We start from the raw sequence: 21,808 nt of genomic DNA, 5'->3' as shown, positions 1-21,808 counted from the left end.
AGATGGGGGAAGGGGTATCCAGGTAGAAGGAGCTGGGTGGGGAGGACAGGAGTCTGGCCAAGGCCCTCTCCAGGTCTGATTTCCTATTGAAGGTTTCCAGCCATTATCTTCCCACCAGAGGAGGCTCTGGTGACCTGGGACAAATCATGGCAGGGTCACACAGACACCAGGAGCCTGGTGGGAGAGGCTTTGGAAACTCCCCAGGACCCCAGCAGGTGGGGTGGGAGGCTAGATCTGAGACCTGAGCCATCCCACGAGGCGCCAGCCTCCCACCCTGCCTGTCCTTTGGCAGCTCTCTAAGCCTCTTAGGGCTGCCATGGCCCTCTCCTGTGTCAGAGGCTGGGGAGGGGGCAGGGGCATGAGAGGAATGCGCAGGGGACCCGAGAAGGATGGTTCTATCCAGGTGCGCCCACCTCCACACTCACCCTGCCCAGTCCAGGGCTCTGATCAGGATTCCACACGGGAAAAGCACTGCAGGAGGAGGACTATTCTCTTCTGATCTTCCCCTCTCCAAACCCCCACGCAGCCCGATGGAATAGGAGCAGGACCAAACTGGGACAGGAGCTGGCCAGGGGATGGGACATGGACCAACCCCTCCCCAGCGAGCTCCATACCACCTGGACATAGAGCTCCCACCACAGCCACAATCAGCACCTCCAGCATCCCTGCAGCCACTGTCCTCACAACTACACTCACCACAGTCATTCCACATCACACCCAAACCCACACTCATACCCCCATCACCGGCATGGTCACCACCTCCATTTGAAGACTGGATAGGACTCTGAACTCCTCCTCAATGTGTTTTCAGGCCCATAACCTCCCAGGCTGTGGGGCAGGCACAGGCTGCCCCCATTCAAGACTCTGCAGCCCCAGAGGTCAAGGGCTTTGCTGAAGGGCACCCGGCGAGTTAGGGCAGCCAGGCTTGCACCCCCAGCCACAGGGGTGGAAATGTGGGAAAGGCTGGGCAACATCAGTCCTTTCTTGAAGGGAAATTCGAGAGTGTCTTCGTGTTTGCCACCTGCTTCTGAAGCCTTAGAAGCCTTGAGAGCCTTCAGCATGGGCGTGCAGTGGCTTCTGGCTGCTGGGATTCTCCTGGCTGGTAAGGGATTAGGGTGGGCTGGGCCTGGACCAGGGGTCCTCTTTCTCAATCAATTTCCACATCTGGCTTGGCCTTCATTGTCCTCATGTGGGTCTGGCCATGAACAGCCTGGGGGATACCAAGACATGGCCAGGGTCCACTCCTCAGTCCCCCAGGCTTGGGGCTCCCAGAGGGCACTCAGGGTGACCAGCTTTGGGGAGCCTGGCACAGGGCAGACCCCGCATGGATCTCAGTGTACACTTGTAGGTAGGTGTGGAATTAGCCCCCAGGGCTTTCAGAGATGGCCCCCGCCCTCCCCACAAAATACTTTAAGGTCCAGCTGTCAGCCTGCTGTGTTCTGAGGATGTGATAAGGCAACAGCCTTGTCTTATGATGAGGATTGGGCAGCACTTCCTGGCACCCTCAGGCTGGCGTGGACCTCACAGGTCATTCAAACAGAACAGTCCAGGGCCCCCAGCCTGGAGACAGCATCGCCCTGGGGAGCTCTTGAGGCCCTTGGGGAGGGACCCTGCGATGGGTGGTGTTGGGGTGGGAGGCACAGGGAGGGGTCCTTGAGGAGTGTCAGTGTCCCCTCCTGCTTCCCTCAGCTCTGGTGGGTTAGGATCAGCATGTTTTCCTGGGGTAGCTCAGTGGTTTGGGGCCGGAGCTGGGCCAGGGTTTGGATCTCCGCAGGCCCCTTCCCAAACGAGGGAGGTGGCAGGGAAGGTGTGGCATCTGACAGGCTGTGGGCAGTCCCACCCCCCAGTCCCCCGGGTGGCAGGCAGAACAGGCATCTCCTGTTTGCAGCTCTCTGGATGGTCTCAGCTTCCGCCCTGAACCTTCCTTCTACTCACAAAGACCCCGGCTGGCCTCCCTCAGCCCCTGGCACGTCCGCTTTGCAAGGCAACAGCAAGAAGACACTCCTGTCACTGAACATCCTGCCAGCCATCGTTGATGGAGTCTCTCTCTCAGCGGAGAGGAAAGGGGAGGCTCCTAGCACAAGGGCAGAAGCCCTCTCTCCCGAGGTATCTGGGGACCAGGAAGCTCCTCTCGCCTTGTCTTTGGATTCCTCCTCGGACCAGGCTGTCCCTTCAGGAACTGCTGGGGTCCCAGGCAGGGCCCCACCTGGACCAGCCCCATCAGCACTGGCCTGGCCCACAGCCCACAGAACCCCTGAATCCCAGCCAGTGTCCTCTGTGGCCGGACTTGTGTCTGGATCTGTGGCTGGACCTGCAGAGGAGATGTTGGTCCCTGGATCTCCAGAGATTGCTGCCCCATTACCACCATCAGCTTCTCTTGGCCCAAGGTATCTCGGGTCTGGGCAAAAGTCCAGTGAGGCCCCTGAGTTGTCTGTGACAATTCATGCTCTTGCCCCTGCAACCCTGAGGACCTCTGGCACCCCCAGACCTACCCAGCAGCCATCTGGAACATCCTCTGCCCCCACCACCTCTGCACCCATATTGGGATCCCCACCGCGGATGCCCTGGCTCCCAAGCAGGCACACCTTCAGTCCCCATGCCTGGATGCTGCCTGCGTCAGGGGCTAGCAGCTTTGGCCCAGAAGCCTCCTCATCGCTGACATTGGCTCCAGGGACCACGGGGAAGGCTGTGTCCTCAGAACCCCCCAGCCCATTTGTGCTTGCGTCGATCGTTAACACGTTGGCTGTCACAGAGCCTCTTACCCCTGTAGGTCCCTCCCCAGTCCTCATAGGGGATTCAGGGTCACCCAGAGAGGCTGTGGCTTCCAGCCGGGGCCCGGGGCCCAGTGTTCCTTTGACGTTGCCATCGCCCTCAGCAGCACCACCTTCACAGCCATCACTGTCCTTCTCCCCATGCCTCTCACCTGTGTTGGCCCCGTCCTCGTCCCCACTACACATTGTTCCATCTTTGTCGCTGTCACTGTCACTTTCCCCACCACAATGGCCATTTCAGTCACCAACTGCATCACTATCCCCAATCCTGGCCCCAGTTTCCCCTGTAAGTACTAGAGCCAGAACCTCTGCAGACCCTTCTGTGTCTATTCCCACACACAAGCACAGATTCTCCCACTGATCCTCCAGCCTCCCACCCACCCTACCACCCTTGATGGTTGCAGAGCCAGCCACACTTCAGGGGACAGTCCAGCCTGGGCCAGGGGTCCCTGCCAGCCCAGCCACCACAGCCACCCTCCCTCTCAGATGTTCCTCCCGCCTTCCCTCTGCCCCACCCAGCCCCAGCTCCCCAAGGGTCCCTGGGGGTGCTGACCCCATCCAGTCTTCCGCCCTGCCTTATCGCAGCCAGACCTTCTCATTCCAGGACTCAGTCTCCTCTACCCCAGGACCCAGTCACATGACGCGCTCCGTGACCTTCACAATCACCAATGAAGCCTTCTCGGCTGCACTCTTGAACCCTGCCTCCTGGAAGCACCAGCTGCTGCGTAAGATCATCCACCACCAGGTGAGGGCCCCTCCTCCAGCGTGCAGGTGGCCAGTAAGGCAAAGCGAGGCAGAGTTCCTGCAGCCAAAACCAAATCCGCCTCCGCCTTGGTTCTGGAACCATGGGTGCCCTAGCCAGCAAGTGCCATTTCTTGACTGGCATCCAGGGGGAACTCTGAGTCTCTGTCCATTAATTTATTAGTTCATCCCTTCATTTAGTCAACTAACTCATTTCTTCCTACCACTAACTGAGCACCTACGGTACCAGGTATGGTGCTAAGTGCTGGGAACACCACAGTAAGCAAAGCAAGCATGGCCCCTGCCCTCAGGGAGCCTGCAGTCTGGAGGAGAGGACAGCCCTACAAGGAGTGATCAAATGAATCCAGATGTCATCGTAGTTGTGATAAGCTATGGAAAGGGGAAGTGCAGACAGGATAGCAGCGAGAGGGGGCTGCTGGGGAGAGGGGGCTGCCCAGACCACACCTTTCTGAGAACTGGGAATTTTAACTGGGACACCGAAGGTGGCCAGATGAAACACAGAGGGGCTTTCTAGGCAGAGAACAGCACCTGTGATGACCCTGAGGTGAAGAGGTGGTTGGAGGCAGCAGAGGCACAGGGACACCGGGGAGAGGGGCTGTAAAGAGAAGCATTTGGAACAGGGGTGGGAGAGGGAGAAGGGGAGGCCTGTTAGGAGCAGGGCAGTCGTCCAGGTGAGAGAGGTCTGGATGGCAGGCCAACATGGCAGCTGTCCAATGCAGAGCTGAGAATGACTGCATTGGAGAGCGATTTTCAAGAAAACGGCAGAGAGGAAAAAACCTAGGAAGGCTGGGTGTTTGCTGCAGCCTCTGCCTCCTGGGCTCAAACCATCCTCCCACCTCAGCTTCCCGAGTAGCTGGGACTACAGGCACACACTACCATGCCGGGCTAATTTTGGTATTTTTGGTAGAGAAGGGATTTCGTCATGCTGCCCAGGCTGGTCTTGAACTCCTGGGCTCAAGCGATCCTCCCGCCTCAGCCTCCCAAAGTGTTGGGATTACAGGCATGAGCCACGACGCCCAGACAGACCTTGAGGCTTTCAGCAGAGGATGACTGGCAGGTTATCTCTGGCCACTGTGTGAGGAACAGCTTGGGCGGGGCCTGGGAATCCCAGGTGGTCCGTGAGGGACCATTGCAGGGACCATGCCAAGATGATGGAGGGTGGACGAGGGTAGGTGGTAGGGTCAGAGAGGGGGTGGGTTAGGGCAGGAGGGAAGGTGGGGGGTGGCACGTGCCGGCCTTCCATGCCTCTGCCCATCCTCAGCTCCAGCCCCTCTACCACGAGGCCTTCCCCGGCTTCCAGGGCATCGGTGTCCTGGTCTTCAGGTGAGTGCACGTGGCTCTCAGGGCCCACCCATCACCCACCAGCTGCTCTGACCCTTCTCAGCCACAAAGGCACTGTCCCAGATGCCTAGCTCTGCCCGTCCCACCCCCTGTTCAGGAGCACCTGGGGACAGAGGCAGGAAGAGCCCTGGACAGGCAGGGAGGAGGCCCACGTCTGATTCTGCCACTGGCTATGCTGTGTGACCTCATATGCCCTTTGGCCTGCCCTGAGCCCTGATTCCAGCTGCAGGATGTGGGCAGGAACATCAGGCATTGTCTGAGTGCAGTGGGGAAGGCAGAGGCAGCAAGGGCAGCAGGCTTGTAAATGACATGCAAAGGGATGCAAATCCCTTGGGCAGGGCCCTCCACTCTAAGCGTCTGGGGGAAGAGGATGTTGAGGGAGACCGAGACCATATTTGCCAGCGGAGAGCAGCCCTGCCATGTCATGAGAAAGGCTGAGAAGGTCCAAATCACTGCAGCCCCACTTGAGTTGTGAGCTCACTGTGGGCTTTGAATCCTGTAAGTAATTTAAAGGCTCAAATGCTCCCAGTGACAGGAAGCTCACTCTCTCTCCAGGCCATGCTCCTGAGCTGCTCAGACAGTTTTCCCTTTTAATAAATGGAAGCCTTCTATGACTTCCCTGCCCTGGGCCTGAAGAGAAGTTTTCTCTCCCCACCCCCAAGATGCACAGCACGCAAGTGCTCAGGGGAAGGACAAAAGTTATTCTGGATTCTTATTTGTTTCCTGGTCTCTCCCCGAAAGCTCCTTCAGTGCCTTACTGAGGCCAGGGTACCTCCTCAGGCCATGGGCAATTGGTCCATCTCCCACTGGCTTTCAGAGATTCTTCAGGCCTGTCATCTCCCTCTCTCCAGAGCCCCTGCTCCTTGTGATGCAGCCAAAGATGTTTTTCTCAGTGTGACCCAGATTATCACCCTGAGAGCTCACAGCCAGCTGCAGCCTGGCTGAGTAACCCTGCCCTGGGAGCTCCCTGGGTGGGATTCATGGTATTCCCATGACAGCCGGCTTGTTGGGGTGTCCAAGGGAACTCAGTTTCACTGAGTGCCTGCTTTGGATGCTGGTGGCTGAGTCATTCAGGCCTCACAGCAATCCTCTGGGAAAGGGATCATTATCTCCCTTTTACTGAGGAGGCAGCCAAGGCCCAGACGGGTGAGGTGACTTGCCTTGAGTTACACAGGGAGGCTCTTCTCTGCGTGACCCATGACTTCCCCTGTGGACTTCCCTCCCTTGGGATGCCAACTCGTGCACCAGCCTGGCCCCCACCGGGTGCACAGGACCCCTCATGCCCCCACTGGCCCTGGCTGAGGACGTGGCTCTGCCCCCACAGGCCTGGCTCTGTAGCGGTGAACGCCTCCCTTGTATTTGGGGGCCGTGCCCCAGGCCCCTCTCCCTGTGAACTCCTCTGGGCTTTGTATCGCAAAGTGAAGACCTCAGGGCACATGCTGGGGAACCTCTCATTGGCTGAGAACAGCCTCACCTCTGATGGTGAGTCCCATCCCCAGCCGCCCCTACCGCAGTGCCTTTTCACCTCCCCAGGGGGAGCACTGGGTGGACTTCCTGGAGGGATCCAACTTCTGCCCTGACCCCGAAGCACCTGGTGGTGCGGTGGGCAAGGAGGGTCTTGGCGCCTCCGGAACTCTCACCCATGGCTCTACAGGGGCCGACTTGATCACCCTGGCCCGGGAGACCATCAGCATCCGCTTCACAGCCATGAGGTCCTTCCTGCCGCAGCTCCTCGTACCGGGTTCTGTTTCCTTTGTCCTGCTGGAAAGGCAGATCCTCCAACAGGTGAGGTGGCATAGTGAGGACACTCACTATACCTCCCTTGAAGCAGGCCTCCCAGCATGGAGGCAGCACCCAGCCATGGCACTATGGCGGAAGGCAGTCATAGAGGGCACCCTGGGGGAGAGGGTTCTCTGAAGGAGGAGGTGACTGTCCGAATGGGAACACAGCCAGGCTCTGTAAGCAGACACTCCTACCCAGGACGCCGTGTTTAAGGGTGCGCTCCCTCCCAGGTCCTGCCTCCCACCTCACCTGGTCCCCATCCCACACTGGGTCTCAGGAGATACAGCTCCCAGGCCCGCCCTGACCTCCAGGGTTTCCCACAGGTCACACCGGTGGTGTCAGGATTCTACAAGGCGAGTCCCCAGGAGAGGCCCCTGCTCCTCTTCAGGTGGGTCGAGTCCCCCTCCCATCCACTCAGCCTGCCCTGCTGCTCTCTTGGGGGCTGCCCTGGGACAGAGGGAGGCAGCTCTGTGACCCAGAACCAGGATGTGGGGGTGTAGGTTTGGGGCTAGCTGGGAAAGGACTTTGCCCCAGGTAGCTGTAGCTTGGCTGTGTAAGCTAGCTCTGCCTAGAAGGTAGGGGGCCCCCACGCCAGAGGGTGTGCATTTTGGGGGACTCTACCTGCTCTAGAAACGTGCTGGCAAAGAGCTTGTGACCTCTGCACTCTCCCCTTGTGCTTCTCTAGCAATGCGGACCAGTGGGTGGGTGTTTATATCGAATACAAGTTCCAGACTCCCATCACTACCCACCTCCAAGGCCTGGCTAATCACTTGGCCCAAAACATAACAGATCCCATCCTCCAGAAATCCAGCATCGTGGCCAATGGTGAGTCGGGGCTGCAATCCCTGTGTGTCTCTGGGCCAGCAGGCTCTTTCCCTCTCTAAACCTTGGTGTTCCCCTTCTAGAGAATGGGCAGAATTTCCTTCAGACAACACTTGCTCATGTGTTGGGGCCACAGAGAGGAATGGGGCATAGAGCTTTAGCAAGGAGCTGGACAGAGGCGAGAAGCAGTCAAGATCAGAAGGATGAGAGGGTCCCGTCACCTCCCTGATTGCCCAGGACCTCACTGAGTCCTCACATGCATGACAAGATCTGTCCCACCAAGTCAGGGGCAAAAGCCCTCAGCTCTGCCCCAGTGCAGGGGCTGCAAGAAGCCCATATCTCCTCTTGGGGCCTCCTGCAGGATGACTTCTGCAAGCTTGTTGCCATTCAAACAGGGAGAGCTGTTCCACACCCAAGTTAGGAGAGCGCTGGGTCAAATCAGTCCCCTCCAGCTACGCACAGCCCAGAGCTGCTCTCCGAGGACCCCTCAGCCACAGAAGGTGCTGGTCCTCCTACAGTGCTGCCCCACCCCCACCACCACAGCCTCCTGGGGGTGCGGTCGGGGGTGCGTTCAGGGGTGCCCTCCTTCGGGCTTTGCCCCTGCACTCACTCCTACACAACTACTCTCCCTGCCGGCAGCCCCAGAGACCAGATTGGTTTGGGCCTCTGCCTCCGCAGGCCCGAACCACCATCTCTTCTGCTCCCCAGAAAGCCAGCTCCCAGCACACAGGCAGCGTTCCCTCTTCATTCCTCAACACAGAGGGCCCCTCACAACCCTCTCAACAGATGGTAGAGCTCCCCATGTGTCCTCTTAAAGAGGCTTCACCATTGATGGCCACAAGCCCCACCATGACCTCCACCCAGGGAGTGAATTTTCTTACGTGTCTCCCACCGGATCAGGGACAAAATAAAACATAAAAGCAGCAGCTGTTAAATTATCAGCAACATTTCCTACTAGGATCAACTCACGGAGTGGGCAGTGTATTCCATTAGATGGATTAGTACAGGGGTTAGCAAGCATTTTCTGTAAAGGGCCCGATGGGAACTCTTTAAGGCTCTGCAGGCCACTGGGTCTCTGTCACCACCTACTCAAACCCTCCTCTTAGCAAGAAAGCAGCCCTAGGCAACATGTCAACAAATGAGCGTGGCCACGTTCCCGGAAACCTTTCTTTATGGACATGGAAGTTTGCATCTCACGTACTTCTCATGTGTCACAAGATACGATTCTACTTTCCATGTTTTCAACCATTTAAACATGTAAAAGCCATTCTTAATTCATGGGCCACACAAAAACAGGCAGCAAGAAATTTGGTTTTTAGACCAGTGGCAGCTGACCCCTGGATGGAGCATAAGAGCTTGGGTGTGTGTCCCACTCCAGGGCTTCCAGGAGAGGGGATGCAGGCTGATGCCACCTCCACCCCCATCACTCTAGGGGAGAAGGCAGAGCTGGTGCTGTATGAAGTTTGGCTGCAGATCCTGGTCCAGCCCTACACCAAGGCTTTGGAGGACAAAACCAGCCCTGAGTTCTGGGCACTTCAAGGGCAGCTGACGAGATGGGTGAAGTGGCGGGATGAAGTGGGGGGTCGAGGAAGAGGCCTCGGGAAGATGGGGGATGACTGGACAAGACTTTGGTAGAGCTGTGACCCTCTTCATCCTCTCCTGACCCCCCAGCTGAACTTCATCCTCAGACCTCTGCAGAACTTTGACCAAGTGGTGGTGGAGGAATTCCCGTGGGTTCAGGGTGGCCCTGGGTGACCCAGGGCTCAGACCTGGGTTCTGGGGTTGAGGGCAGGAGGCTGGAAGAGATGACCTCCCCTAGTCCCCCAAGGCTGCCCAGCCCCCTGAAGTCTGTGATGATCCTCCCACCAGGCCGGAGCCACTGACTGCCAGAATGGGTGCCACCTTCTTCAGGGCGGCGCCAGCCCAGGCTCTCATGTGGGACCGTTTGCGCCAGGGTCTGCACACCCTGGGGAAGGCAGAGGGCCTCTTGGTGGAGATGGTCATCCCAGACCTCGGTCAGTACCTCCTTCCCTCTGCAGGCCCCCTCCCTCTGTCCATCTGCCTCCTCCCTTGGGCTCGCTGCCTCCACATGCCCTGATCTGAAGCCTGCCTCCCCTCCTCATGGAGCCCTCCAAGGTGCTCCTAGCCCCAGCTCCCTGGTCCCGCAGCACCTTCTGAGCCCAGATTCTGCCTTCTCAGAAGTCTGGGAGGCAGGGCCCCGCCTGGCCATGGCCTTCTTGCTCTGCTCCAGGCACCCCCAGCCCTGAAGTCTCCAGTCCGCTGGACGCCTCCATCCCTTGCTATGCCGTGGCTCTCCTCATCCTGGGCCTCCTGCTCGTCACACTGGCCCTTGTCCTGGTGAGTGTCTGGCTGGGCCCGGGCGCCTTCCTGAGGGGCAGCCTAAGCCTTTGACCTCTTGAGCCTTTAAGCCAAGCTGAGGGGTGAGCAGGCCCCTTTACACCCCTGATTCCCCCACCCAAGCCCAGCATCTCCTCATCCTCCAGCTGGGGTTGCACGGTTTGGGGCCAGGGGGCTGGGCCTGATCCCAGTGTCCCCACCCTTCTTGTCAAGGTGCTAAAGTGGAGGGCCTCCCATGGGGTGTTCAGCCTGGGTGTGTAGAAGCACACAGTGTGGTACAGAGGACCCTCTCCAGACAGGTAAGTGGAGGGCGGTTCTCCCTGACCCCACCCCAATTGTTTGTTCTGGGTGGGGTCCACCGCGCCTCCTGCCAAGGCCTTCTGCAAACACTCCCCGGGGGCTGTCATTGGCAGTGCCTGGGGGGTGCAGTTGGTGTGCCAGAAAAGCTCCCCAGTACTGTGGGCAGTGGCCCAGGCAGTCAGGCAGACTCCCCCAAGCAGGCCCCACCTACCCCTCGCCTGTTCCCAGCTCCCTCCCACCAACACTAGAAATGATGTTGGGGGCCGACAGAGACTGAACTTAGGAGCACAGGAGGCCAGGAGACCTGGGACAGAGAACAGGAGGTGTGGGGAGGGAATCTTCCTTCCCCCACTTCCCACTGCATGAGGGCCAGACAGTGGCACCTCCAGGTCCTGGAAGGACATGTGTGGACCCAACTCAGCTTCCCCTTTGTCTTATGGCCTTTCTTCTCCCTCCCCCGGGGCCAAGTGGATGTGGGAGGAGGCGCAGCACCGTCCTGGGTGCACTCAGACTCATTCCCCACTCCTGGCCTTCACTCCCTTTCCTCTACACACAGGTGACCCCTCATGCTGCTGCTCCCTCTGCTGAAACCCAAACTCCAAACCTCTCCTCTCCCTGCCTTCACCTTGCCCCATGGCTTCCACAGACGGTGCCTCAACCCTGAGGAATGAATCCGGAGTTCCAGCACCACTGACTTTCCCCAGAACTCAGAGCCAGAGAGGGCCAAGGACCAGCTCGAGGACACACAGCCAGGGCTTCTTCCCTCCAAAACCCCCAAGGATTGGACTTGCAGGGCTGGGACAGAGGTGGGGTGGGGGAAAGCAATGCCTTGTCAACCCACGCGGGGAGCCCCACTCCCATCCCCAAGGTGCACAAAGTTGAGAAACACCCCTGCTCCCACGTCCATGCTCACTCAGGGCCCTGCTCCAAGTGCTTGGCACTCACACCAGCCTCCCGCCCTCCATGCCACAGGTATCGGTCTCATTTACAGAGGGGGAAATGGTGGCCAAGAGCCTCCCCCAGCACACACAGCTAGACCACACAGAGGACTTAGGCACAGCTCAGGTGTCCGCAGTCTCTGCTGACCCTCTTGCCACTCGTGCTGCCAGGGACCACACTTTGGAGAGGGAGGAACGAGAGTGAGCTGGGTGCTCACACACAGGACATGGGGTTGAGGCGGGGAGATAGGGAAGGGTCAGACCGGAGGAAAGGGCAAGGTGTGATCCTGTACATACACATCACAAAGCCCACTGAGGTGGGGGCACTCAGGCCGGCTCTGGGCGTGGCCCAGCATGGCGGGCCTCAGACAGCAGAACACGGCAGCCTGGCAGCCCTCCCGTGGCGCTTTGCAGGGCACCTTCATCCCCACAGAGCTGGGTTAAGTTTCTCTCCCTGGGGCAGGAACTCAGCTGCAGAGGCAGCAGGAAGGGGACAGAAGCCCGCCCCAAAGAGGGCTGGGGCAGGGGCACCCTTACGCCCGCCTGGTCTGGCCCAGTAGAGCTGGAGGGACTGTCAGTCCTAAGACAAACACTGGCCCTTTGGGGGTATGGAAAAGTCAGGAAGCAATCCAAAGTTGGTATTTAAAAAACTGATTTCTAGATACTTAGACGGTCATATGGTGTGAGGAGCTGGGGGCGCCCCAGGGTAGAGCCCACAAGAGGAGGAAGACTGAAAAGGGGTCGGAGTGGGAATGGGGGCTGCTGAGGGCAAGGCCCACCCCCCTCCCTGACCCCCAAACCCAGCCACAGAGCCAGTCAGCCTCAGGCCAGAGGGTGTGAGCAACGGGGGCCCTGGCTGCTCTACAGTGAATCAGAGCCACTGAGTGTGGGGGGGTCTTCCAGGGCAGGTGTGGGGCCGCCAGGCCAAGGTGAGGCAGGCTCCCAGGGCAGAGACTGAGGCCAACCCCTGCAGCCCCACTGCAGGGGGGAACACTGGGATAGGCAAGGGTCTTAACCCAGAACGCCCCAGCAGCTCCCGTGCCCATCAGGACACCATTGAGGCTTGGCGGTGGTGGAACCCAGGAATGGTCTTTGAACCCATGACCTGGAAAGGGGAGCCAAGGATAGTCCTGGCCTGAAGGCTCCTCTACCTGCAGGCAGTGTGGAGGCCCAGCGAGGGGACCCCAGGAACCCAGACCATGAGCTTATGTGGCCAAAGACAGCAGCCAGCACCAAGACATCAAAGAGGGCGGGTAGAAAGATCATCACATCGGGATTGACTGTGGCCGGCACCAGGTTCCTCTGTACTTCTGGAATACACAGGCCTCTCCTTCCTATCCCTGAAGCGCCCATGCCCCCACCCCAGCACCCCAAAGACCAGCCCAATATATGCATTTGTCCTGGGTCAGCCCCACTGTCCAAGCAACTGCAATTTCTCACTAGAGAGCCAGGGCAGGGCAGGGTGTAGGAGGGGTCCCTGGAAGATGCCCCCAGAATGCCCTGATGCCTAAAACGTTCCCCATTGGGCCTTCTCAGGGAGGGAGGGTTATGGCAGCCTTGTTCTCTCCAGCTACCTCCATCACCACTGGAGCCCTTACAGGCGTCATGGGAGAGAATTGGCTCAATGGAGCCAGGACCAGCATGGACACAGCCCTGGGGCTGAGGCTAAGTGGGCTCTGGGAGACCGTCACTCTCTCTTCAAGCTTTGGTCTCCTGGCCCTCTACAAGCCAGGCTGTTTCAGGCTTTGCATGAGGTCTTGCACACAGACAGTTCAAACACAGCTGGTGGACACAGTGGGCTTTAGGGAGGGGGCACATAGCTGGGGGTGGGGGCTGGGTAACAGGGAAAGGGGGCCCTGGGGCTAGCATGGCCTGTCTGGTGGTGGTGCAATGGGACCTGCACCACATGAGGAGAGAGGGTCCACCTGGAAGAGTGGACCAGCCAGATGACCAACAAGCTGGATGGCCACTGCCAGAAACTGCAGGACAGCAGAGGGGGCTGGGAAAGGACAGAGGACAGCTGGGGGGCAGGGAACGTGGGTTCCTCCATACAGCCACGAGTCTTCCCTAAGTGGGTCTTCCCCATGGAGGCGAGGGGGCATTCAAGACACACCTCCAGCCCACCTCAAACCATCTCAGGAAGCCACCACCAACTCACACAGGCCAGCTGAATTGTCACAGTGACCCCAGAACAGCACAGCCCTGTCCTTCAGATGAATAAACAGAGGGAGAGACGCATCTCACAGCCAGGAACTGCGACTCAGACCCAGGTCCAGCTGCAGTGCTTTCTCGATGGCTCTGCCTGCACCTCCTCTGGGACTCAGTTCCCGCTAACAAGTGAGCACCTGAGTACGGGTGAAATGGGTGCTATTATCCCCGTCTGGCTGCTGGGGAAAGGGAAGCAAGGCACAGGTGACTTGCCCAAGGCCAAAGTGACAGGGCTGGTTCAACCCCATCTGTCTCAGCCAGCACATCCCCATGGCAGAGGCTTTACTGTGATCCAAACCTGGAAGGTGGAACTCCTTCCAATGTCCCACCCAGGGCACAGAGCATGCAGCCCCATGTTTGAGGAGGTGACGGTATGGGGAGGTGACAGTGTGGGAAACAATCTGGCTAGGCCAAGGCCTCATGGAGCCCAGGGTTCCCTAGGGCCAGGAGAGCTCTGGAGCCCACCCCGACACCCACTGGAAATGTGGAATCTGCACCTGCAGGAGATCAGGAGAGCGGTTCAGCCTCCGATGCACCTGCAGCGAGGTGAGACAGGCACAGGTGGGCGCCCTGCTTCCAACCAGCGTCAGGTGGGCCGGAAGCAGATCTCCTGCCTGACCTTCCTCTCCTACCTCCCCCAAGCAGAGGAGAAGGGGCAGCCGCCCATCAGGCCATTGCCCACATTGAAGCCGCTGAAGCCAGGTCCCAACAGGTGAGTCTGACCCCTGACTATCCCAGGCCCGGCCCAAGGCAGTCATGTCTCTGGTGAGGACCTGGTAGATAGATGTGATGTCCCCAAGTGGCTCTATAAACCTCTGATTGAGGATAATCAAGGAAACGGGCAAGACCATCACACTCAGCCAAGAACACGAGGGGGACTGGGGCAGGCAAAAGTCAGTTTGGGCCCAGGCCTGGCCCCTGGAAGGATGGTGGATGAGGGGCCAGCCACGGTGAAGGGGAATGGATGGCCACGGGCTGGGTGGTCAGGGCTGTCAGCTCCTGCAGCCCCTGCGGAATGTCTGCCCAGGCCTGGCTCTGCGCTCAGCCTTCTGCCTGGAGCCACAGGTTCCTGGACACCGGCCTCAAGTAGGGATAGTGGTAGGAAAGGCACTTGTGGCCACATGTGGGCACCTAAGCATGGGACAGAGGGGTATCATGCCCCAAAGAGACCATAGAGGCCAAGAATGTAAGCAGATGTGACACCATCAATAAACCCCCCTGTCCTGGGGGTTTATTGACACCATCAATTAAGTCAGAGCCTACCCTGACCCTGACGCTACAGCTCAGTCTGGTTGAGACTCACAAAGAGATGTTAGTGCTGGGCAGGGGACCTGGCCCAGCCTGCGATGTCCAGCAAAGCTGTGGGCTGGACAAGAATCTCTGAAGATTAGTCCAGGACAAGGACAGCTGTGTCTGGGCAGGGAGTGGGGGCAATGCCCAGGAGACCTGAGGACCTTTAACTAGGTAGGGTGCCAGGTCAGGATGTGCAAAAGAGAAGGTGGCATGGCAGCATCCGCCCGAGGCCAGGCTATAAACCTCGGGGCCGCCCTGTGTAGCCTAAACCATGCTGCCACCCAGATGCCATCCTTCAAATGTGAGGCAGGGCTGGGAGAGCCCCCAGACCCCTCATCCCTCCCGCCCCAAGGTGGTTCCCATCCCTCACCAGAAGGAAAGTGAACTCTTCTATGGGGCACAGCCTGCCAGGTTCTGTGTCACCTGGTGGAAGGGGCTGTGGGGCAAGCCGGGGGAGCTGCAGCTGGGTGAGAAAGAACCCAGGTCCCACTCTGTTCCTACCTGTCAGGTGACCTCGGGCAAGCTGCTTTCTTTGCTTGGGGCCAAGGAGAGTCACAGGGGAGGGGCCAGGTTAAAAGGGCTCCACCCTGGAGCCCAGAGCTACCCATAGAGAAAACCCCTATCCTCCCGATTCCGCTCCCAGCTCACGCTGCTGCGATAACATCCTCCCCATCAGAGAGGCCGTGGGAGGCAGAGGCTGACCCTTCCTCCTTCAGGCACCTCAGCGGGTTTGGTTCCGCCTTCATCATGATCAGGGAGGGGGTCCCTGGGATCTCAAAGGTGAGGGGCAGCTTCTCGGGCTCCAGGTGCTCCAAGGTAGACCCTGCAGGGCACCAGAGCTAGAAGGGCATTGGGGAAGATCTTGAACCAGGCCAGGACCTGACCTCTGCCTGGCCATGGTGACTCTGAGCCAGGTAACCCTACGTTAGTCTCAGTCTGTCACTGTGTCTCACGGGGGATGTCAGCATTGCCTTTGGAGTCAAAGTAGGTAAGCCAGGGTAACCAGAGTTCCCAGTAGGGACCAAGACCAAAGGATGCAGGGGTCGGGCCTGTCCCAGAAGGTCAGGCTGGACAAGGGGCTGTGTCAAGCTGGGGCAGCTGAGGTCCTGCCCTTCAGGTTACAGTCATCTGGGTCCTGGTCTAGACCCTCATATGCCATCCAGAGACCCAACCCTAGGGACAATTCCTCCCAGGCTGGTAGCAGAGAGTCGATCCTTTTACTCACCCTACCAAAAGCTCTGAAATAAGAAGGCCTGCCAGTGGGGAAAAGACTCTTCAGGAAAAGGTTCTCAGGGGCAGGGAAGGTTTGAGCTGGGCCTTAGGGCAGCCAGAGAGGTAGGTGACAGGTCCCCTCACAAAGCCTGCCAGAGAATGCAGGAGGAACACAGGTGTAGTGATGAGAACGTTCTGGAAGACAGCAGGCAGCCTCCCACTCACTGATGGGGCCGAGTGAGGTCATGTCCACACACCAGGAGAAGCTGGAATCCACACACTGGTGCACTTTGTTTCTTGTTTTAGAGACAGGGTCTTGCTCTGTTGCCCAGGCTGGAATGTGGTGGCACAATCATAGCTCACTGCAGCCCTGACCTCCTGGGTTCATGCAATCTTCCCACCTCAGCCTCCTGAGTAGCTGGTGAGGGAAGAGAGAGGCTCTCTCATATTGTTTTATACTCAGTACCTGTTTTAAGAAAAAAACAAGGAAGTGAAATCAAAGACAGGCAGCCCAGCGCCAGGCCCAAAGCCAGGCCTGGGCCTGCCTGGCCTAAACCTAGTAGTTAAAAATCAACTCATGACTTAGAACCCGATGTTACCCATAGATTTCAGGCATTGTATGGAAGAACATTGTGAAACTCCCTGCTCTGTTCTGTTTCACTCTGACCACCGGTGCATACAGCCCCTGTCACGTACCCCTTGCTTGCTCAAATCAATCACGACCCTTTCATGTGAAATCTTTAGTGTTGTGAGGCCTTAAAAGGGACAAAAATTGTGCACTCAGCTCGGATTTTAAGGCAGTAGCTTGCCGATGCTCCCAGCTGAATAAAGCCCTTCTTCTACAACTCGGTGTCTACGAAGTTTTGTCTGCGGCTTGTCCTGCTATACTGGGACTACAGGCACACGCCACCATGCCTAATTTTATTTTTTGTAGAGACAGGGTCTGGCTATGTTGCCTAGGCTGGTCTCAAGTGATCTTTCCACCTCAGCCTCCCAAAAACACTGGGATTACAGGGACAAGCCAGCACTCCTGGTCATGCTGGTGCATTTTGGCTGCCATGGTGCACAGGAGGTATGAGCTGGGGGGCAGAATCTGCTCCTGGACCTCTACCCAGGCCTGCACCCAGACTGACCCCTGGGCTACAGGGAACAGGTGTGGAGAGAATGCAGCAAGCAGAGCGGGCTAGTCAGTGATGGAGACCCAGGCTGGGACTAGGAGAGATAGGGCTCCAACCCTCAGCCTAGTGGCCCGGCCCAACCCCATGGGGCCAAGATGACTTCCTAGGAAGCCAGGCATGGAAGCCAGCATGCACCTGAACCGAGGACAGAAGACTCTGATGACAGGGAGGCCTCTGACATAGTGTGGATACTTGTCCCATCCACATCTCGTGTTGAAATGTGATCCCCAGTGCTGGAGGTGGGGCCTATAGTGTGAGGTGTTTGGGTCATGGTGGGGGATCCCTCATGAATGGCTTAGTGCCCTCCCCATGGTAATGAGTGAGTTTTCTAATTTCTAATTTTTTTTTCTCTTTCTTTCCTTCCTTTTTTTTTGAGACAGAGTCTCACTCACAGCCCAGGCTGGAGTGCAGTAGCGCGATCTTGGCTCACTGCAACCTCCACCTCCTGGGTTCAAGTGATTCAATGAGTGAGTTTTCTATTAGTTCACAGGAGAGCCTGATGCCTCCTCTCTCTTGCTCCCTCTCTCACCATGCGACACGTCTGCTCCCTCTTTGCCTCCCGCCAGGAGTAAAAGCTTCCTGACGCTTCACCAGAAGCCTAGCAGATGCTTGTACAGCCTGCAGAACTATGAGGCAAATAAACTTCTTTTATAAATTACCCAGTCTCAGGGCCAGGAGCGGTGCTCACGCCTGTAATCCCAGCACTTTGAGAGGCCAAGGCGAGTAAATTACTTGAGATCAGGAGTTCAAGACTAGGCTGGCCAACCTGGTAAAACCCTGTCTCTACTAAAAATACAAAATTAGCCAGGCATGGTGGTGCACGCCTATAATCCCAGCTACTTGGGTGGCTGAGGCATGAGAATTGCTTGAACCCTGGAGGCGGAGGTTGCAGTGAGCCGATATTGCACCACTGCACTGTAGCCTGGGCTACAAGAGCGAAACTCTATCTCAAAACCCTGCCTCTACTAAAAATACAAAAAATTAGCCAGGCATGGTGGTCCATGCCTGTAATCCCAGCTACTCAGCAGGCTGAGGCAGGAGAATAGCCTGAACCCAGGAGGCAGAGGTTGCAGCAGCCTGAGATCGTACCACTGCACTCCAGCCTGGGTGACAGAGCTAGACTTCATCTCAAAAATAAATAAATAAATAAATAAATAAATAAATAAATAAATAACCCAGTCTCAGGTATTCCTCTAGAGCAACACAAAACGGGCTAATACAGCCTCCACGTTTGGTGTCCAGTGGACCTGGTGGTCCACTAGACACTCAGTGGTCTTGACTCTGCCATTAACAGCCAGACTATGACAGAGTTGTTCCCCTGCTCTGCCTCAGTTTGTCCTCTCTCAGCTGAGCAGAGCAGGGATAACTGCTTCTCATGTGGGCCACAGGACAAAACAAAGCCCTGAGTCCCACAGGAAGGTAGGTGGGCTATGTCCAAGGGAAGACAGACCTGGGGCAGTATTTTATGTCCCCAGGGTGGCAGAGGGACATGGAGAAGATGCCTCCTTTATGGGCAAGGGAGAAGGGAAGATAAGCAGAGAGGTGCCAGACACCCGCCTCACCCCCACCTCCCCCACCCCACACCAGGCCCATTCCTACTCAGCCCCCAACTCAGGCTGCACCATTCCCCTTTGGTCAGCTTGACTTCCCAGCCAAGCTGATGGAAGCTGACAGCTTGGATTCATCAGGGACAGCACGTAGTATAGGTGATGTGCAGGACGGAAGTGGAGAGGGCACACGGGAGCCGTGGTGTCAGGTCTGGGGCTGCCAACATGGTACCTGCCCTGGCTGGTCCACCCTGCCAGATGTGGCCTCTAATTCTAAGGTCTCCGAGTTCCAGGCCAGGACTGGAGCCAGACTCCCCTTGGGGACAGGGGACACAGTCCACATAGACATCACTTGTGCTTTGGGCAAAGCCAGCTGGACAAATGAATGAAAGGGGCCCTGCTGGAGGGTAAAACTGGGCCTGGACTACTCAGACCTGCCTCTGTGACAGGACGGTCCCATCCTTCCAATCAGACTCCTGAGCTGGAAACCCACCCAGCCAGGGAGTGGGGAAGGGGTGGCCTGCAGTCTCCCTTGAGTCTGTAGCCCCTCCCACCCAAGTCAGCTCCATAAAAAAAGATGCAGAGGCCGGGCACGGCGGCTCACGCCTGTAATCCCAGCACTTTGGGAGGCCGAGGCAGGCAGATCACGAGGTCAGGAGATCGAGACCATCCTGGTTAACACGGTGAAGCACCATCTCTACTAAAAATACAAAAACAAAATTAGCCAGGTGTGGTGGTGGGAGCCTGTAGTCCCAGCTACTCAGGAGGCTGAGGCGGGAGAACTGCGTGAACCTGGGAGGCGGAGCTTGCAGTGAGCTGAGATCGCGCCACTGCACTCCAGCCTGGGCGACGCAGAAACACCAGGTGCTTCTTCCAGCTGCAGGCTACTTCCTGGCGTGGCCTCCAGAACCCTGGATGAGTCAAGACGGGGCTGCCAGCAGCTGGGGGCAGGGGGAAGCTGGGTCCTCAGGGTGGATGCCTAGCAGGAACATGCAGGCGTGGCGAGTGATGGGCCCTCAGGGCTGAGCCCCTTCTGCCCAGGGGGCCTTGGTGACACGCCTGCTGCTGAGCTCAGCCCAAGGAGTCAGGGCCTGGTACCAAGTGGCCTCTCTGCCTGCGAAGACAGTCCTGGGATCGTTACCCCTCTGCCCAGGGCTCGAGTATCCAGGCTGGGGAAGGGCCAGCAGTCAGAAAGAAGGGGGCTGTGGGTGTGGGTCCCCCAGCAGTCAGGGGCCTTGGTGGACAGGGCCCCCTATGAGTGGTGTGAGGGGGAAGGGAGACTGAGCTGTACTCCCCACCCCACCGAGATCTATGGTGCCAGGCTCCAGAAGGGGACCCTGGGGGGAGACCAGCATGACAGGAACCGCTGAAGATACCTTTGGGCACCTACTCTGCAGGGCTGGGCCAGCTGGAGGTTTAGGGCCCACATCAGAGGGGTGGGCTGGATGCCACAAAGAATGAGGCTTCCTGCTGGGGTTGCAAGGAAAGCAAGTCTGGTGTGCAGAGGGGCACCCGCTGAGCTGGCAGAGGCCTCCCCACCAGTCCCAGGAATGCTGGAAAACAGGCTGCCAGGGGATTAGGGCCAGAAGTGCCCAGGAGGCCAGGGGAGAGGTCTAAGCTAACTCCAGATAGGATAGCATCCACAGGTCTAGAAGAAAGCTCCAAGCTGGCAACACCCAGAAGGGGCTGGGCTACCAAGGGCTGGGGGCTGGGCATGCTCACTGGCCTCTGGGGAAGCACTGGGCAGATCTGGTGGGGACCAGTCTTTTAGTAGCTAGGGACTCTTGTGGCCTGCTGGGCTTAGAGATGCCAGGGTGGCAGCAGATGGCAGGGTGGGGCTGGGGAAGACCTGGCCTCTGGAAGCTAGGGTCCTGGTATGTCCGCGGGGCCAGGAAGTGGCAAGCAGAAGGGTGGCAGCAAAGGATGGACAGGGATACCCCAGATCTAGCCCAAGGGAGGTACCAAGCCTTGTGGAAAGGCAGGCGGGCTCCCCAGGTCTGTTGGAGAACCCAGGCCTCCTTGAGTAGCGGCTGTCTCCAGGGTCTCTTGCCTACTTAAGGCAGCTGGGAGCCCAGGCCTCACTGAGGAGTCATCAAGGCCTCAGCAGGAGGCAGAGAAGCACTAGCTTTCTGTGTAGTAGGGCCCAAGCTGAAGCCCCAGCCCCTCTGAGGGTGTAGTGGGATTGGGTCTAAGAGGTTTACAGGGTTTGAGGAGGTGCAGCCAAGCTTGGGACCCCAAGTTCTGAATTATATGGAGAGGAGCTAGGGGATACAGGAGGGGCCTGCCCTGGTCCCATCATCCAAATCTGAGGAGGAAAAGGGTCTGCAGATGCCTTATCAGAGGCTCTTGAAGAAGCAAGGGATCCCCTGACAAACCCAGAAATCATAGAAGAGGCCCCTTGAGGTCCTTCCAAGGGGCTCAGCACCCCTTCCTAGGACCCTGGGTTCCAATTGTCCTAAGAAATCACAGGGACCTGGAAGCTGGGCCCCTCTTGGACAAAGGCAGGGTGTGGGAGGAACAGTGGCCAGGCAGGCTGAGGCTAGGGGCTGTGGCAGGAGGGGTGGAGGGCTCATCGACACAGGCACCTCTGAGTGGGCCATAGCTAGAACATCCAGAGTTGGAGTCCCCATGGAGGCAGCAGCGTCCTCAAGGAGGCCCCCAGCTTCCCGCCACCCTGGAAAAGGGGTCCATGTGCAGCAGGAGAGACAGGAGGGGCTTGGCAGCATTCCCCCATTCCCATCTCCTGGGCAGACAGGGCTCCAGAAGAGCTGCACTGGGTGCTCCCCACTGAGGGGGTGTCTGGAGGTGGGGTCTTGGGGAGCTGCCCATGGAGAGAGCACAGCATATAGCCAGCAGCAAGGCCATGTCCACGGGCTGAAGCGTCCCCATGGCCCGCCTCCCACCACCAGCTGGGGCAGCAGGCTGGGCTCGGGGTTCGGCCCTCCCTTCTCCGGCACAGGAACTGCAGGATGAGAAGAGTCACAGCCAGTCAGGTCAGAGTCGGGTCCTGCTCCGAGGATCCCCAAAGGAGGTTTGAGGGAAGACTCAGCTGGCTCGACTCAACCCCCTTAGTGAGAACAAACTCACGGGAAGAGGAACATCAATGAGGCCAGGAATGACAGAGGGAAAGAGGCGTCTGGAGTCACGAAGGGGCTTTGGGGTCTTCACAACACCCCAGACATGGGCGTTGCCAGCAGCGACAGGGCAGAATGAGGCCTCAGGACAAGCAGGGCTCAGCACCAGGGTCCCTGCCAAGGCCAGGTTGGGGTGGTGTAGTGCTGAGCCTGGCTGGAGGT

At 58.2% G+C, this 21,808-nt stretch overlaps 1 pseudogene across 1 annotated transcript, besides 4 other annotated features; it reads left to right on the top strand.

Annotated features, from left to right (window-relative positions):
- The first annotated feature begins 6,203 nt into the window (after positions 1 to 6,203).
- Positions 6,204 to 9,141, top strand: TRCG1P (taste receptor cell gene 1, pseudogene; annotated as a pseudogene). The gene is made up of 5 exons (NR_171056.1): positions 6,204 to 6,356; positions 6,529 to 6,659; positions 6,980 to 7,044; positions 7,342 to 7,481; positions 8,911 to 9,141. The product of NR_171056.1 is annotated as a taste receptor cell gene 1, pseudogene (transcript).
- Positions 16,061 to 16,120: an enhancer, noted in NCBI's record as "active region_9846". NCBI's record gives its function as "activates an Ori minimal core promoter by ATAC-STARR-seq in GM12878 lymphoblastoid cells {active_cell/tissue: GM12878}" and the evidence as "EXISTENCE:reporter gene assay evidence [ECO:0000049][PMID:35858748]".
- Positions 16,201 to 16,390: an enhancer, noted in NCBI's record as "active region_9845". NCBI's record gives its function as "activates an Ori minimal core promoter by ATAC-STARR-seq in GM12878 lymphoblastoid cells {active_cell/tissue: GM12878}" and the evidence as "EXISTENCE:reporter gene assay evidence [ECO:0000049][PMID:35858748]".
- Positions 17,201 to 17,250: an enhancer, noted in NCBI's record as "active region_9844". NCBI's record gives its function as "activates an Ori minimal core promoter by ATAC-STARR-seq in GM12878 lymphoblastoid cells {active_cell/tissue: GM12878}" and the evidence as "EXISTENCE:reporter gene assay evidence [ECO:0000049][PMID:35858748]".
- Positions 21,060 to 21,119: an enhancer, noted in NCBI's record as "active region_9843". NCBI's record gives its function as "activates an Ori minimal core promoter by ATAC-STARR-seq in GM12878 lymphoblastoid cells {active_cell/tissue: GM12878}" and the evidence as "EXISTENCE:reporter gene assay evidence [ECO:0000049][PMID:35858748]".

This window comes from Homo sapiens, chromosome 15 (genome assembly GCF_000001405.40).
Source record: "Homo sapiens chromosome 15, GRCh38.p14 Primary Assembly".
Taxonomy (NCBI): Eukaryota; Metazoa; Chordata; class Mammalia; order Primates; family Hominidae; genus Homo; species Homo sapiens.
This window is presented reverse-complemented; position numbering and strand designations above follow the sequence as displayed.